The sequence below is a fragment of the Homo sapiens genome, chromosome 12 (genome assembly GCF_000001405.40).
Source record: "Homo sapiens chromosome 12, GRCh38.p14 Primary Assembly".
Classification (NCBI taxonomy): domain Eukaryota; kingdom Metazoa; phylum Chordata; class Mammalia; order Primates; family Hominidae; genus Homo; species Homo sapiens.
Window position 1 is genome coordinate 22,254,141 of NC_000012.12, and position 15,495 is coordinate 22,269,635.

The 15,495-nt window shown below is 40.3% G+C and overlaps 1 protein-coding gene across 2 annotated transcripts in view; it reads right to left on the reverse strand.

Moving 5' to 3' along the window:
• ST8SIA1 (ST8 alpha-N-acetyl-neuraminide alpha-2,8-sialyltransferase 1) overlaps positions 1-15,495 on the reverse strand; it is a 141,317-nt gene that overhangs the window by 60,750 nt on the left and 65,072 nt on the right. The window contains exon 3 of one of the 2 annotated variants that reach the window (NM_003034.4): positions 1,140-1,249. The exons of the other annotated variant lie outside the window; for it this stretch is intronic. Within the exon in view, the coding sequence (NP_003025.1) occupies positions 1,140-1,249 (110 nt within the window). The remainder of the gene's footprint in view (positions 1-1,139; positions 1,250-15,495) is intronic. 2 annotated transcript variants of the gene reach the window in all.

Below are 15,495 nucleotides of genomic sequence, written 5' to 3' on the forward strand. Positions count from 1 at the left end.
TTCCACCTCAGTGAGGCTTCAGGGTCCACCTGAAAGGTCCCTCAGAGTCTATCCTCAAGGCTCCTTTATTTGCTCCATAACAAATGTTTTCTTTTTCTACAACATGTCCACTCATCCCCGAGATACCCTGAGCTCTGAAATCTTGCCCTCCAGAAAGCCATTCTTTGACTTTAGCTTCTTCTTATTCCACGTCTCCTTCATTCATAGCCAGGAGCCACAACTTACCTCACCCCTGCTCTGAATGACCCCATCATCTGACCCCATCCTTTCTCCTTCACTCATCTCAGAGCGCTCTTCCTGCCCAGCCCTGATTTCAAGGTGTGTTACTTTACACCCTCTCTAGCCAGAGCCCTCCAAGTTGTCACTCTTTGTCCTTCTTCCCTCTCACCCAGATAATCCCAAACCTGTCCTTATCCAATCACTTGCTGTCTCTCCTTCTATACGTGGCTGGTAAGCATGTCTGGGCAGAATCACCCAGCAGTGCAGGCTGCTGCCCCTACAATTTGGCAGTCTCTGTCCCTGGCTGAATATGTCTCAGCAATTCCTTTTCATGCTCCCGCAGGGGCCTCCTGTTTTTCCTGGAACTGACGTGCACATCACCACTCTGCTCAGTCCCTTTACCAAGCGTCCCCTCGTTTGAAATTTACCCCTGCTCCTTTGTTCCCGTTTTCCCACTCACTCAAAGATTTAATCCGTCTTCAGATCCCACTTGCTACTTACACATGATTTGATCAAAAACTAAGAAGAATAAGGTATAGAATAAAATGAATCCATTAAAGCATTTATTCATAGAGAGTGGTCCTTAAGGAAAAGAACAATTTAAAAAGCCAAAATCACCTGACTGTACAATCTAAAATGAGATGTGAGATTTTCCACTTTCCCCTGCTCCCTTTATTCACAGCAGAGTGGGTATCTCTGTTCCGCCTGAGCCTTCTTGGCTTTGTCCTTTCTCGGGGCATGTTCCCTCGCTCCCCTTACCCCTCTCCTAAACTCGCTTGTCTATGAGCTGGAAGTGAAGCTAAGGAGCGTGCTACAACTGATTCATCACAAGTGACTAGTTTTGAAAAGCCCCAGGGCTTATGGGAGGGGTGGGGAAAAGGAGAGAAGGCAGAGGCCGCGCTGTGGGTGCTCTCTCTTACCGCATGACAAAATTTGCTTCATCTATTTGACGGCCACAGCCACTCTTCTTCAGAATCCCACCATTTCCCACCACCGCGCATTTCTTCAATGGCAGCTGGAATGGGGTTGCCTAGCAACAGAAAACAAGGCGGGTTTTCACTGCAAAGAACACACAACCGCTCACAAAATCATTGTTTACAGCAGACCCTTTGGAGGAATTTGACTGAAGACTGAGTCCAGCAAAAAAGAGCATGTGAAAAGAAAGATGCCAAGAAGTTTGTAAGGAACAAACTAGTCTGTTGCCTTGAAATTTAAAAAGCAAAATTTTTAAAAAGCCTCCCTGAAGTGCATTTAAATATAACAACATTTATTTTTTTCCTCTCCAATTGGCCATGCACATAGTAGAAGGTGTTTGCTAGGGAAAATTAAAAAAAAAATACAAAGTAAACACAGGATTATTTTTAAAGCCATTAAGCTGGAAACAAATGAGCTCCATTCTCCTATGTGATTGCAATCTCATTCATTCATACAATCAGCCATTCACTTGATAAATGTTTCTGAACATTTCCTTTGCTAACTGTTGGGGAGAGATACATGTGGACAGAAGTCACAGGCCTGAGGGTTCACAATTTGGGATGTGAGGAGAGAAAGGGATGATGAGAGTGTGAAAACATATACCTAGGTAACAAACTCTATTATAATGCTGAAGTTGCTGCCAAAGAGATGCACACTGAATGCTATGGGGCAATCCACAAGGAGGAAGAAGGCATTTCTGCTGAGCCAACTCGGGGAAAGCTTTCTCACTTGGGATGAACCTTAAAGAATACGTATGATTCCTCCAGGCACAGAAAGCAGCGTAAACAACGACACAGAAGTATTTGCTGAGAGTGATGCTGTGTTTATGAGCAAATGAACACTCTGGGTGGGTCTGTCTAGAGCTTAGGACCCACTAAGGGGCAAGTGACTTGTGTAGAACCACACAGCATGTGACTTTCTTTCTGCCAACACTGAACTGGACTGTAAAGAAAATGTTCAGTGTATCTGAGTGTTCCCTGAAGTGCTATTTATAGTATGAATATGAAAACCCAGCAATAGCCCCTGAAAGTGAAATGCGTCATTCGGCCACTTCTAGCTGGGTCAGCAAGAACTGCCAGGTACAGAATTTCCTGCTTGCTGAAACGACGCAGAGCAGCTGGAGTTCTTTAGGGAAAGACCTTTCATATACACAACTGGCATCAAAAATAACCACCCTACATGAATCTCAAGCAAATAATATGGGTTATTCCAAAAGAACAAATCCAATAAGTATATGAATATACACTGTAAGGGCCTCATATAGGCAGGAAGTAGTTAAACCAGAAATAAAATTCCAGGAGTTTCTGTATTCATTGGTAACTGAGGTGGCCACTTAATGCAGCATAAGAAGAGGATTTTATTCCTTTGATTTCTAGTTGTCAAAGGAACAGCCAGAGCTATGGAAATATTGTTGATAAAAATACAGTACTTAAAGTGTAATGTCTAAGCATTTGCCAGCAGAGAGTTAAGAATTTCCTGCATTACTACACCAGAGACCAGCCCAACAAACATCAGAACAGATCCAGAGAGAAGAGACGGGCAAGAAACAGAGGGCTTGGAATCAACACTAGAAAAACATCAGTTAGAGCTATAATTTGTCAGATGAAGATTTAAATACTTACATTCAAAGTAGCTGTTTGTTTATTCCACAAGTATTTACAAAGTGCCTACTATGCGTCAGGCACTGCCCTGGGTGACAAGGACATAAGTAAAAATTTCTGTTCCCAGAGGTTATATTCTAGTGTGGAAAACAGATGATAAGTAAAGATAAATGAGTAAAATGAGCAGTGGGTCAGATGGTGACACGAGCTTTGGAAAGAAAGAAAGCATTGCCATGAAAGGATTAGGAGATGCTTTCAGAGAGGAACTGCAATTATTATTATTATTATTTTCTTTTGAGACAGTCTCGCTTAGTCACCCAGGCTGGAGTACAGTGGCATGATCTCGGCTCACTGCAACTCCCACCTCCGGGATTCAAGCGATTCTCCTGACTCAGCCTCTTCAGTAGCTAGGATTACAGGTACACGTTACCATGCCCAGCTAATTTTTTTTTTTTTTTTTTTTTTTTTAGTAGAGATAGGGTTTCACCATGTTGGCTAGGCTAATCTCAAACTCCTGACTTCAGGTGATCAGCTTACCTCTTCCTCCCAAAGTGCTGGGATTACAGGAGCGAGCCACCGCACCTGGCCCCAGGAACTGCAATTTTAATAGGGTGATCAGGGAGGAGTTCAATTTGTGAGCAAATTCCTGCAGGAGATGAGGTAGTGAGCCTCACAGATCTCTGCGGGAACCCCTGGTGCAGAGACCCTAAGGAGAAAACATTCCTGGGATGGGAAAGGGGGAGCAAAGAGCCTGTTGTGTCTGGAGATGAAGAAGCGAGGCAGAAGAGGGAGGGAGAAGTAGGAAGGATATCAGAGAGTAGACTATTAGGGAGGTTGGGAAATACATTCTGCAGGGCCTTATAGGGTATTGTAAAGACATAGGTTTTTATTCTAAGATGAGAATCAAGTCAATGTTGGGTGTGCAAAGGAGTGACATTATGACATATTTTGGAGCAATCACTATACTGCTATGAGAACAGGCTGTAGAATGTCATGGGCAGAAAGAGAGAGACCAGATAGGAGTCTTTCATAAGAGATTTTGGTGACTCTTGGTCACTTTGGTGACTCCAGAATATGTCCAGAATCTGGCTGCTTCTCACTACCCCTATCACCATCACTGGGGTAGTGAGAAGTAGCCAGAAGCTGGATATATTCTGGAGAAAGAGCTGCCTGGATTTGCTGATACAATGAAAACAGGGCAAGAGAAAAAGAGAGAAATCAGCGATGATGCCAAGAGTTCTGCCTTGAACAACTGTAGAGATAGACTTGCCATTTACCAACATATGGAAGACTACAGGAGGAGCAGGTTTCTGGGGAACGATTTGGAGTTCAATCTTAAATATGTCAAGTGCATGATGTCCTTTAGATACCCAGGTGGCAATATCAAGTAGGGAAGTGAATACATGACTATGCAGTCAGGGAGTTGGTCTTTCCTGGAGATAGAAAATAGAGAGTGATCAGCATGGGTATTTAAAGTCAGGAGACTGGATGGTGAATGAGTGCAGATGGAAAAGAGAAGAGGTCTAAGAATTGTCCAAGTTAAAAAAAAAAAAGTGTCTAAAGAAGAAAAGAAAAAAATTACATCAAATGCTATTGATAGATTAAGTAAGACAACAGCTGAAAATTGCCACTGAACTTAGCAACAGGAAGGTCACTGGTGACCTTGAAAAAGGTAGATTTAGTTCAGCGATAAGAACAAAAACCTGATCTGAGTAAGTTATACATGCACATTTGCATATTTCTTTTCATATAGCTTATTTGAAAAATCTGGGTTCACTCATGTTCAACTAATATTTAGTTTGCTCTATAAAAGCCAACTAAAAATCCCTTTAATTGTTGTCAAAGAGTGGTTCTTGCTTGAGCCTATTAGGCTGGCAATTCCAGGTTTTCTGTCAGGAATCTGGCCGCAAAACAAACAGATCTTGGAAGCAGCAACATAGTCCTAGTTATAAACATTACCTCCTAACTTCCAAACTGTGGAACTATGGAATTGGAAGGTAGGCTGTCAAACCCCTCTGTATTCTGCTTCCTGTCCTGGAAGGGGTCTAACCTCACACAGGCTTTCATGAAATTCTATGAGTTTGTGGATGTCAAGCATCTAACCAAGCCACTGGCATGGAAGTCCACTCATCTTCCTTCCCTTTTTCATTTCTTTCCTCCTTCTAGCAGAGTCTCCCTGGCTTGTTCAAGCCATGAAATGCCTAGATTTCACGGTTTCTGTAGAACACGGTAAAACAGTAATTTAACACACTACCTTAACAATTAGTAATAATTTTTATTAACAGAAAACTTAGCTATTATATCCATGCACTAGTAAATACCACCCCCCAAAGCCCTCAAACAAAAGTCCAGGGGTTTTTTTAAAAAAAGCCATTTTGACTTTTTATTGACAAGCAATTTCATTTCATTTCAATAAATATTTCCTGAGTGCCTGAGTGCACTCTCTGGGCACTTATAATACGTCAATGAACAATAACAGCACACCAAAGCTTTACAGACAAAAAAACTTAATTGAGAAAATACTATGGATTTTTTTTTCTTTTTTTTTTTGAGACAGAGTCTCCCTCTCGCCCAGGCCAGAATGCAGTGGCGCGATCTGGGATCACTGCAAGCTCCGCCTCCCAGGTTCACGCCATTCTCCTGCCTCGGCCTCCCGAGTAGCTGGGACTACAGGCACCCGCTACCATGCCCGGCTAATTTTTTTGTATTTTTAGTAGAGATGGGGTTTCACCATGTTAGCCAGGATGGTCTCGATCTCCTGACCTTGTGATCCGCCTGCCTCGGCCTCCCAAAGTGCTGGGATTACAGGCATGAGCCACCGCGCCCGGCCAAAAATACTATGGATTTTTTAAAGTAATTGAGATAATACTCTCATTAATACTCACAGAATACCTCCTCAATTTCTCAGTTTGGCAATGGTCCATGTTTTCCAGAATGATGTATGAACAAGATGTTTTCCTTTATGAGTATACTTATATAGAAAGAAGTTTGGTCATCCATTGCCACATGAATATTACTATTTTAACAGAGAATATTTTTATTGAGGCATTGCATACTGTCTTTTCAAATGTGTCTCCTTGTACCTATGCAAGAAAATAATCTACTGGATTTGAGAATATAATATACTATAACACTCTTGCTAACCTTAAAAAAATCTACTCTAAATGCAAGGATAGATTAGACAGATTAACTATAGTAATGAGCTCAAGGGTTTTTTTCTTTTTTCTTCCTTTTTTTTTTTTTAGAAAGGGTCTAGTTCTGTGTCACCCATGCTGAAGTACAATGGTGCCATCACGGCTCACTGCAGCCTTGATCTCCCAGGCCCAAGCAATCCTCCTGCCTCAGCTTCCCAAGTAGCTGGAACTATAGGTGCATGCCACCACACACAGCTATTTTTTGTATTTTTTGTAGAGACGAGATTTCGCCGTGCTGCCCAGGCTGGTCTCAAACTCAGGTTCAAGCAGTCTGCTCGCCTCAGCGTCTTAAAGTGTTGAGATAAGGCATGAGCCACCGCGCCCAGCCTCACAGATTTTCTATTCTTGCTCAGCCACTAACCATCCTACGGATCTTTGTCCAGAGTTTTTTATCTGTAACTGTTCCATCTGTTAATGGCCATCTTATTAGTGACCATATTATATGAATCATCTGGATTCAGATTTGTCAGGCCCTTCAACCCCTCAGTGCCTCACTGGAAACAAGGCATGATAAAAAACCATTTGTTCCATCTTCCAGGACTATTACGAGAGTTAAAATAAGGTGAGGCATTTACCATTATCAGTAACCTCTGAAGTCCCATATAAATATATTATATTAATTCATTATTATGTACTAACAAAATTGCATTCCTTAGGGGAAAGTTAGTATTTTGCTAGACCACTGTAGTATTTAGTCTATATTTGTGTGAGATATTTTCAATTTCAAAGATTTATATAGTTGTTGTTTTTTTTTTTTTTTTTTTTGAGACACAGTTTCACTCTGTCCCCCAGGCTGGAGTGCAGTGGTCCAATCACGGCTCACAGCAGCTTCAACCTCCTGGGCTCAAGCAATCCTCCTGCCTCAGCCACCAGAACAGCTGGGGCTACAGGCATGTACCACCATGCCTGGCTAATTTTTGTTTTTTGTTTGTAGACACGAGGTTTCACCATGTTACCCAAGCTAATTTATATATATTTTGAACAAATCAATATTTTTTGTCATTGGTCCTTTGAGGGTGTATTTGTTTGTTTTGAGACAGAGTCTTGTTCTGTCACCCAGGCTGGAGTGCAGTGCCGCAATCTTGGCTCACTGCAACCTGAGCCTCCTGGGTTCAAGCAATTCTCCTGCCTCAGCCTCCCGTGTAGCTGGGATTACAGGTGCCCGCCACCACGCTCGGGTCTTTTTTTTGTATTTTTAGTAGAGACGGGGTTTCACCATGTTGGCCAGACTTCAGGTGATCTGCCTGCCTCGGCCTCCCAAAGTGCTGGGATTACAGGCGTGAGCCACCATGCCCAGCCAAGGGTGTACTTATGAATACAACTTCTATCAAGCCATGAGTTTTAATAACATATTTGTGTAGAAATCATTGCAGGTATCATATCTTTTTTTTCAACACCTCATATCTGGACTAAGTACAGATGAGATGATCAACAAATTGTTCAATAATTAGTTATTTAATCACAAAATTTTCCTGGAGCATCTAATCCATTCTCAGCAGTTTCCGGACCTAAAATGGCATTTCCTTATATTGTAATGAATATATAAATTAATCTCCAAATTTGAAGAACAACCGTGAGCCCCATCACTCTAAATATGAACCGGTCAGTAAGCCCATCCAGTGTGTTGCTTCTGAGATACCCCTTATCCTCATTTTCCACAGTCTGCCTCACTCGTGCCTCTTCTCAAACAGCCCTAATACCTAACTTCCCTGTTCATTCATCAACTTTTCATTGAGCACCTAGTATGGGCCAGGAGCTGTTATGGATGCTGAAAATGTGATGGTGGACAAAATAGACATATACCCCACTCATGCAGCTTACACGCTAAATAGAAAAACAGAATTTAACAAACATGACAGCAAAATGCAGCGTGCTATAAGGTTAGGAAAAATTTCTCTGAGGAATTAACATTTAAGCTGAGATCCATAGCTTTAAGCATATGAAAGTAGTTGAGATTTCTGGTCTATTAGATAATATTAGGAAGGTGAAAAAAAGACAAACAAAAATTAGGATCTTTGGTGTTTTATAGCATGCATGAGAGTGAAAAGACTTGTTAAGTGCCAGCTGCAAACATATTCCTAGCTGACAAAATGACTTATGGAAAAACGCTATTCAAGTCTGAAGAATTTAAACCCTGTTTGTTGTGCCTTATGTAAATAGTACTGGAGCATCTCAGAATGGTTTTTATAATTAAGTTAACAAAGCATCATTTACCAGAGTCACTTTCAAAGCCCGAAGCCCACCTCTTCCTCCTCTCCTTGTGCAATCCACACAAAGCAACAAAGAGCTGGCCAGCTGGGACTCCACCCCCAACCCTGAACAGCAGAGCCGGCACTGACCTCCACCACTGGCACAAGGAGACTTTACACCTACTCATCTTCCAACCCACAGACATAACTAGATGTCTTGAATGATAATTGTGTGACCTCTAGAAGCACATGAGTTAACCACCATAAATCATTCATTGTTGCAGAGTCTGAGCTGGTCTGGGAGGCAGGGCAAAAAGTAGGAAGTGCATGGAGAAAAAGAAAATGTAAACCACTTAGTGGATAGAGAATTGGATGCAACAGTAATTTTCACAGGAATGCACAACATTTTATTAAGAGCACTTCTGATTACAAATTAAGTTACAAGAGCCTTTGTGAGAGGCTGCCTTTGAGGCATGTCTACAATTTTAAAAATCAGCATCATGCATTGGTATGAAATCAAAATCTAAGAATTAAAAAGAAGTTCTTTAAAACCACTAAAGGGCAGAACAAGAGATTGCGGGCAGGCTGCAATGTCCTTACCTCCACGTTATAAAAAATAACTAACCTTAAATATAGATTTCTTGAATCCTTTTCGGATTCTTTTTGAATCTAAAAACTTCAGAATCCCCGAAGCAACCAGCTCACCAGGAATCTTATCAATAGTGGAGTTCTGTCAGAACTGACCTAAGGCCTGAACAGATATGAGGAGGCTCTGAGGCTCTGGTATTTATGAGAATTGAGTGCTAGATTGAATCAATTTAAGCAGACTACTGGCCAATTAAATATGTTTAATTTCAACAATTATCTAAGCAACGAACAGATATTCGAAATGTTCTCTAGCTTTTGAAGACGACAACAGGAGTCTCCGTGTTTTAAGTTTAATATAGGATATATCAGATTATTATGATCACTCTTACCATACTTCACTGCTTAGTTTCTGAGATGCGCTGAGTAATTTTTCACCTACTTTGCTTGTGATCATTCTTCTCCTGGCTCCCTTCTGCCACTCCCTAGTTCCTCTTTTATCTGCAGCCTACATTTGTTGCTTTGTTGCTTTTATATGTTGGGAGGATGCCAAAATTATTTATGAAAGCGTATTGTTTTAGAAATTTAAAATAATGAGGCTATCATAACTAAGTTTTGTTGATTTTGTTACACATTTATGTTTATGTGATACTCTTTTAGCTAAAAGAGTGATGCTTACTTTCACACTTGGCAATATAAAGAAAAATTGGTGTTTTGGTTGTTGGTGGCAAGAAGGTTTTGTTGTTCTTGTTTGTGTGTTTATTTGCCCTAGTAATCCCCGCCAAACTCTTTTCTCTTTGACAGGAAGGGGGAGCAGGTCTTCCTTGTCATGTAATTGTGTTTTAAAGCTAGAAAAATTATCCAGACACTCAGTATTTAGAATTGTGGCACCAAGTGCCACAATCAAGAAGAATCAATAGCAGTGTTAGCTGCAGGTCTCAAACCATATTGGAAAAGCACAGAGTTTGCTTTGCAAGCCTTCAGAGTGGTCTGAAAGGCTGTCACTACATGCCACCTGCTATCAGTCATGATGTCAAAACATATGTTTGCCCTTCTTAATGAAAATCTCAAGTTTTTGACCATAAGAACTCAACTCACACATCTAATTGCATTCCGACCCTTTTCTTTCTATATACCCTCACCCACGTATCCTCCTGGACTCCCACACACAATTATGCTTCATCCACACACATAATTTAATTTCTTGCCCATATGTTAATTATATCCTCAACTTAGGCATCTAAATACACACCCCTGCCTCATATTTAATTATAGCCCCCCTCTTATGAATGTAATTACATCATTCAGCCTCCCACCTAATTATGCCCTCCTTAACATATTTAATTGCACTGCCCTGCTCCAGGACCTAATTACATTCTAACCAGTGCACCAATCAAGCCCCCAACTCTCCAACAATACTCCTCACATGAACATCTCTTTATCCCTGTACCCCAGTCACTTTATTACTTCAGTTAAGGACTGGCAAATTCCCACAAGCGAATTCCTAGCGAGCATGGTGCCCAGCTAAACAAACAAAATAATAACAAGATGCAGCCAAATCAAAAGCAGTTTTGGTTCTTTCCAGTAAGTAAACTAACACGTATTGGCTTTTTCAGTCATTTAACTAGCCCCTTGGCAGTCCAAATTAAAATTTCAGTTGTTTTCTTACTTTGCATACGTAAGCATTTTATGATGAAAATATCTGGTAATTAGTTCAATTATTTCAGAGAAAAAAAACTTCTCATTATAGGTACTTAATTATTAAACCCTTTAAAAAACGTTACACATAATTTTCCCTTAAGATATATATTTGTACATGTTAATTATAGAATATTTGTAGTTTCCTACCACTCAAGGACTTTTAACTGTTCTTCAATTATATGAAAACAAATTTCCAGAAAGCTGCTAAGATTTGTATTCCCCATTCTATTAATAAAATTGTGATTTTAAAAGGATAGCTTCAGTGTTATGCTTTCTACACAGGATGCTTCTTTGGAAATTGAATGATGTGAATATTTATATAGTGGATGCTATTTGCCTATTAAAATTTCTTACTCAATCCATTATAAAAAATAACACAAAAGCATTCCAAAAAGTGTTTTGTATGTTTCACATATGATCTGTTATTCTGGATACAACTCATGTGGCATCAGTTCATGTGCCCATGCAGCAGATTTATTAAACATTTCATAGTCAAGTCCCAATGAATTGAAATTTTTTACTGATGTTGTTTCTGAACCATAAGGTGACAAAGACTGTGTCTATACTTCAGGGCAGAGGTTGACCACATTTTAAAAGTCCTCAAAACTGTTTTCTTTTCATGATGGAAAGGGAAGGAAATACGAAGGGCAGGCCCAACATTTCAAAGGTAGGGCCAATCATCTTAGCAGTGGAGCAAAACACGGAATAAGCAGCAGCAGGAAGTACTAAGCTTCATGCCATTGCTAGACGTCATACTTGCAATCCCCTCATTGGAAATACCACTGAAAGATTCATTTTCTCCAAATACAGAAAGCACATCTTCATGTTGATGAGCATCACCTTGTAGCCCGCCTGCCTGCATCCAGTCCCTGCTGTTAATGTTCCCCTATGACAATTGGCAAGTTATTTAACCTTAGGGCCTTAGTTGTCTCACTTGTAACAACTGTACTGACTTCTTACAGTTGTTGTGAGAATTAAATGACTTATGTCTGGCACAAGGTAAATGATCAATAATTGTTATTTTTATCTTTAAGAGATCAACATTTTCTCAGCAACACAGCCTAGAAATCTCAGAGCCATTTTTGCTCACCTCTCTCTTAATATCTACGTAACACCTCCCTCTGCAGAGGCTCTTCTGTTCTTCTCCTCTTTCCACTCTCACTGTAACTATTGTTTAAAATGGTTTAATGCTGTAAATTGGCCTCTAGTTCTTGCCTATCATCAATCCTTCACTCTCATATCCTAATTCTTCTAAAACAAAAGCTAGTGCAAATCACTTTTCTAATAAAAAAAAAAGTACCATGTTTTCCCTTGCCCACAGACAAAAACACTTCCGATCTTCATTGAAGCACCCACCCAGGACCTCTCAACACCCTAAACTTCCTGTTCATTCTTTTCTACCAGCTGGTTATCTATGCATACACCCAATATTCCCTCCACACCATTTTACGCACCTGTGTTTCCTCAGACACAGCCTGAATTTCTTGTCTCCCTACCTCTGTTAAAGCTGCTTCAATGGCTCGCCCTCACCCCTTCTCCTTACTTTCTCTACTCTATTACCTGCCTTCCAAATTATTTTTCAACCTTAAGATCTATGAAGGGTCTGCAGGTACAGTGTCCAATAAAATTCCCTACAAGTGCAAGGAATGCTAAAAAAAACTCAAGCAGACAAGAGGCACACCGGAATTCATTTATGCCCCATGAGTCATGAGATTATGTATTAAAGCTGTGCACAGTGGCCGGTAAATGCACGTGGAATTGAAACAAATCATTTATTCAATACTTCAGAGACTTCCAAACTTATTACTGTTGCTACTGTTATTTTCTTTGCTTCAAAATCGAAGCCTTTATTGTTTCTCAGACAAGGTTATACCAGAAAACCCCTATTTAAAAAAAAAATATATATATATATAGGCCAGGCATGGTGGCTCACATCTATAATCCCAGAACTTCAGAAGGCTATGGCAGGAGGATTGCTTGAGGCCAGGAGTTTGAGACCAGCCTAGTAAAACTCTGTCTCTACTAAAAATATATATTTTTTAATTAGCCTAGCATCATGGCATGGACGTGTAGTCCCAGCTACTCGGGAGGCTGAGGTGGGAGGATCTGTTGAACCTAGGAGTTGAAGGCTGCAGTGAGCTATGATTGTGCCACTGCATTGCAGCCTGGGTGACCGAGTGAGACCCTGTCTCTTGAAAAAATGTGTGTACACATACTCACACCCACACACATACACAAAAGTATACACACACACACACACACACACACACACACACATATACACAAAAGAGAAGATGAGGTAAAGTGGGCACCCTTCCCCAATTTCTTGGTCTCTCTATTTCTGGAAGTGACACTTAGACACCCCAAGGAATTTGATGGTGTAGAAAACCATGAATAAAATCCAACTCCATTTTTTCAGAAATGAAGAACTACAAATACCAAGCAAGTTTCAGTTAAGAACATTTGGCAAGTATTTATTGAGTGCCAACTAACCATATACCAGTCACTGTATGAGATGCTGGGTCAGAAACTGTGAGCTTCAGTTCAGTATTTGCTACACTAAAAGGTGGTATCAATTAGGGCATCCATTTTGTTTTCAACTATAAATAGTGTGCAATTACTTAGTAAGTAATGCAGCAGACTGCTAAACTGTTAATCCAATTTAACTGACTAGGCACCTGAACTATCAGGACCAGGATCAATTGCCTGCTAATTAACTATTATTTTCATTTAAAAAAAAGCATGTCCATGATTGATTGTCTCATATATAACTATTTTATTCCATTAAAAGATAAATAAGCCAAGCAGAGAATATTCCTTTTGGGAATAACTGGCTGCTGCTGATGCTTTATTTCCCCAATTTAATAAAATGTATCTGCCATCCTTTCTTACTGATAAAAAGGAAAATAAGTGATTTCCAGAGCATCCTTCTCTTCCCAGTATTCCTGCCTTAATTATCTCTCAGGACTCTGCATACAAGCATCCAATCAACTGAGTTTTGCAGCCTGTAAATTACCTTCACACATTCCTACCTTTACTTATTTCTCCTGACCTGCTTGGCTTATCGTCTACCCTTTTTTCACAGTGTAACTCACATATTTCAGAGACACATGGAATTCATATTAAAGATGCATATTCTTGGTCTACTTCAGCCCTCTAGAAATAGGATCTCTGGGTAGAGCTTAGGAATCTGAAGTTGCCCTACACGATACAATTCACATGCACAGTGATGTTTGTGATCCACCTGATCTGCCAACTCTCAGATATGACCTGAGGTCTTCCTTCCCTAGAACCTTCCCTGACCTATGTCATCTTCCAGGATTGGCATGCACATCCTGCCCATTCCCACAGAAACACCTACTGCACTTACTGTCCGTCTCACTAAGCAGACATTCTAGGCCCTTAGCACTGGGTAACACTTGACTAGCTACTGTTGTGTACACCCATCTTCCACAACAGCGAATAAGCCCCTCAAGGGTATAAACCATGTCTTTGTAACTCTTAGTGTCTCCAGAGCCTACCACATAGGTATACAGATGTTTTCATTAATTAATTGATTTAATCCAGCCCCAGACTTTCTGGAGAAATGCCAAGAATCTATCTAAGCAAATGCAGCAAACCTGTTCCCTTTTTCAGACCACTGACAGAAAGGTTAAGGAAATTGCTAAATGATCCACAGACGAGCTTTTTAGATTATTTTAAAGTCTAGCACACCAGAGGTGCAAAATGAAATGCCTACACAATTCAAGCGGGTAACATAAACGAGTGGAAGGAAGGCAATAGGAAGTGCTAGAGACTGTGGCAAACAAAGGGCACATGGCCAAATGTATTAGTCTGTTTTCACACTACTAATAAAGACATACCTGAGAGTGGGTAATTTATAAAGAAAGAGGTTTAACTGACTCACAGTTCAGCATGGCGGGGGAGGCCTCAGGAAACAATCACGGCAGAAGGGGAAGCAAACACATCCTTTCTCACGTGGCAGCAGCGAGAAGAAGTGCAGAGCGAAGTTGAGGGGAGGGGGGGAAGCCCGTTATAAACCCATCAGATCTCGTGAGAACTCACTCACTATCGTGAGAACTCACTCACTATCATGAGAACAGCATGAGGGTAACCACCCCCATGATTAAATTACATTCCACCTGGTCCCTCCCTTACATGTGGGGATTATGGGAACTACAATTCAAGATGGGAGCTGGGTGGGGACACAGCCAAACCAAAACCATATCACCAAAGCAGCAGGATAAGAAGCTGCTCATGCCCTACTCATGGGCATGGGAGCCAGGACTGCCAGATATTCTGATTTTTTTTCAAGTGATACTAAAAATCCAGGTATTAATGTAAAAGCTCCTCATTTTTAAAAGTTGGCATATAGTTCAAATGATTTTTTTTTAAAGTAAAGCCAAAATTTGAAGGCCAGATTTATCTTAACTGGTAGCCAATTTGCATATCCTACTATAGACCCAGGCAGGGCCCTGGCAGACTTAATAAATAAATTTATTCCAAGAGTAGGCAGTTAGAGAAGAGTGCATATCTTAAATTATTCCAAAAGACACAGTAGGAAAATACATGCTTTAGGGAATTTTAGCCAAAGATTGGGAAAGACTCTTTTCTCTGTGCCAGATTTAAATGAAATACAGGGTTGTTTTTTTTTTATAAGGCAGTTAGTGAAAAATTCAGGATTCTAACTGACAAAGAGAAGTCCAAAAGTTTCTAAAAGTCTCCCTTGCTTCTTTTCAAAATAACATTAAGTAATATTTGTATATTACCTGCAGTGATTTCTCAGCCCTCTGTTGGGTGGACTTCCCATCCTAAATGGCTTGTTTTCTAACCAAAATGGGATCAGGTGATCCCATATGAATACTATTGTAATGTGTATGTTTATTTAACAAGATATTATGGATACCTTCCCTTCATGATTGTAATATCAACATGGTATTTAACTGTAGAGGTGATTCATAATTTAACCAATCCCTTAATGTTGAATATTTTAGGTTATTCCCATTTTTTCACTATGATAAACAATACTGT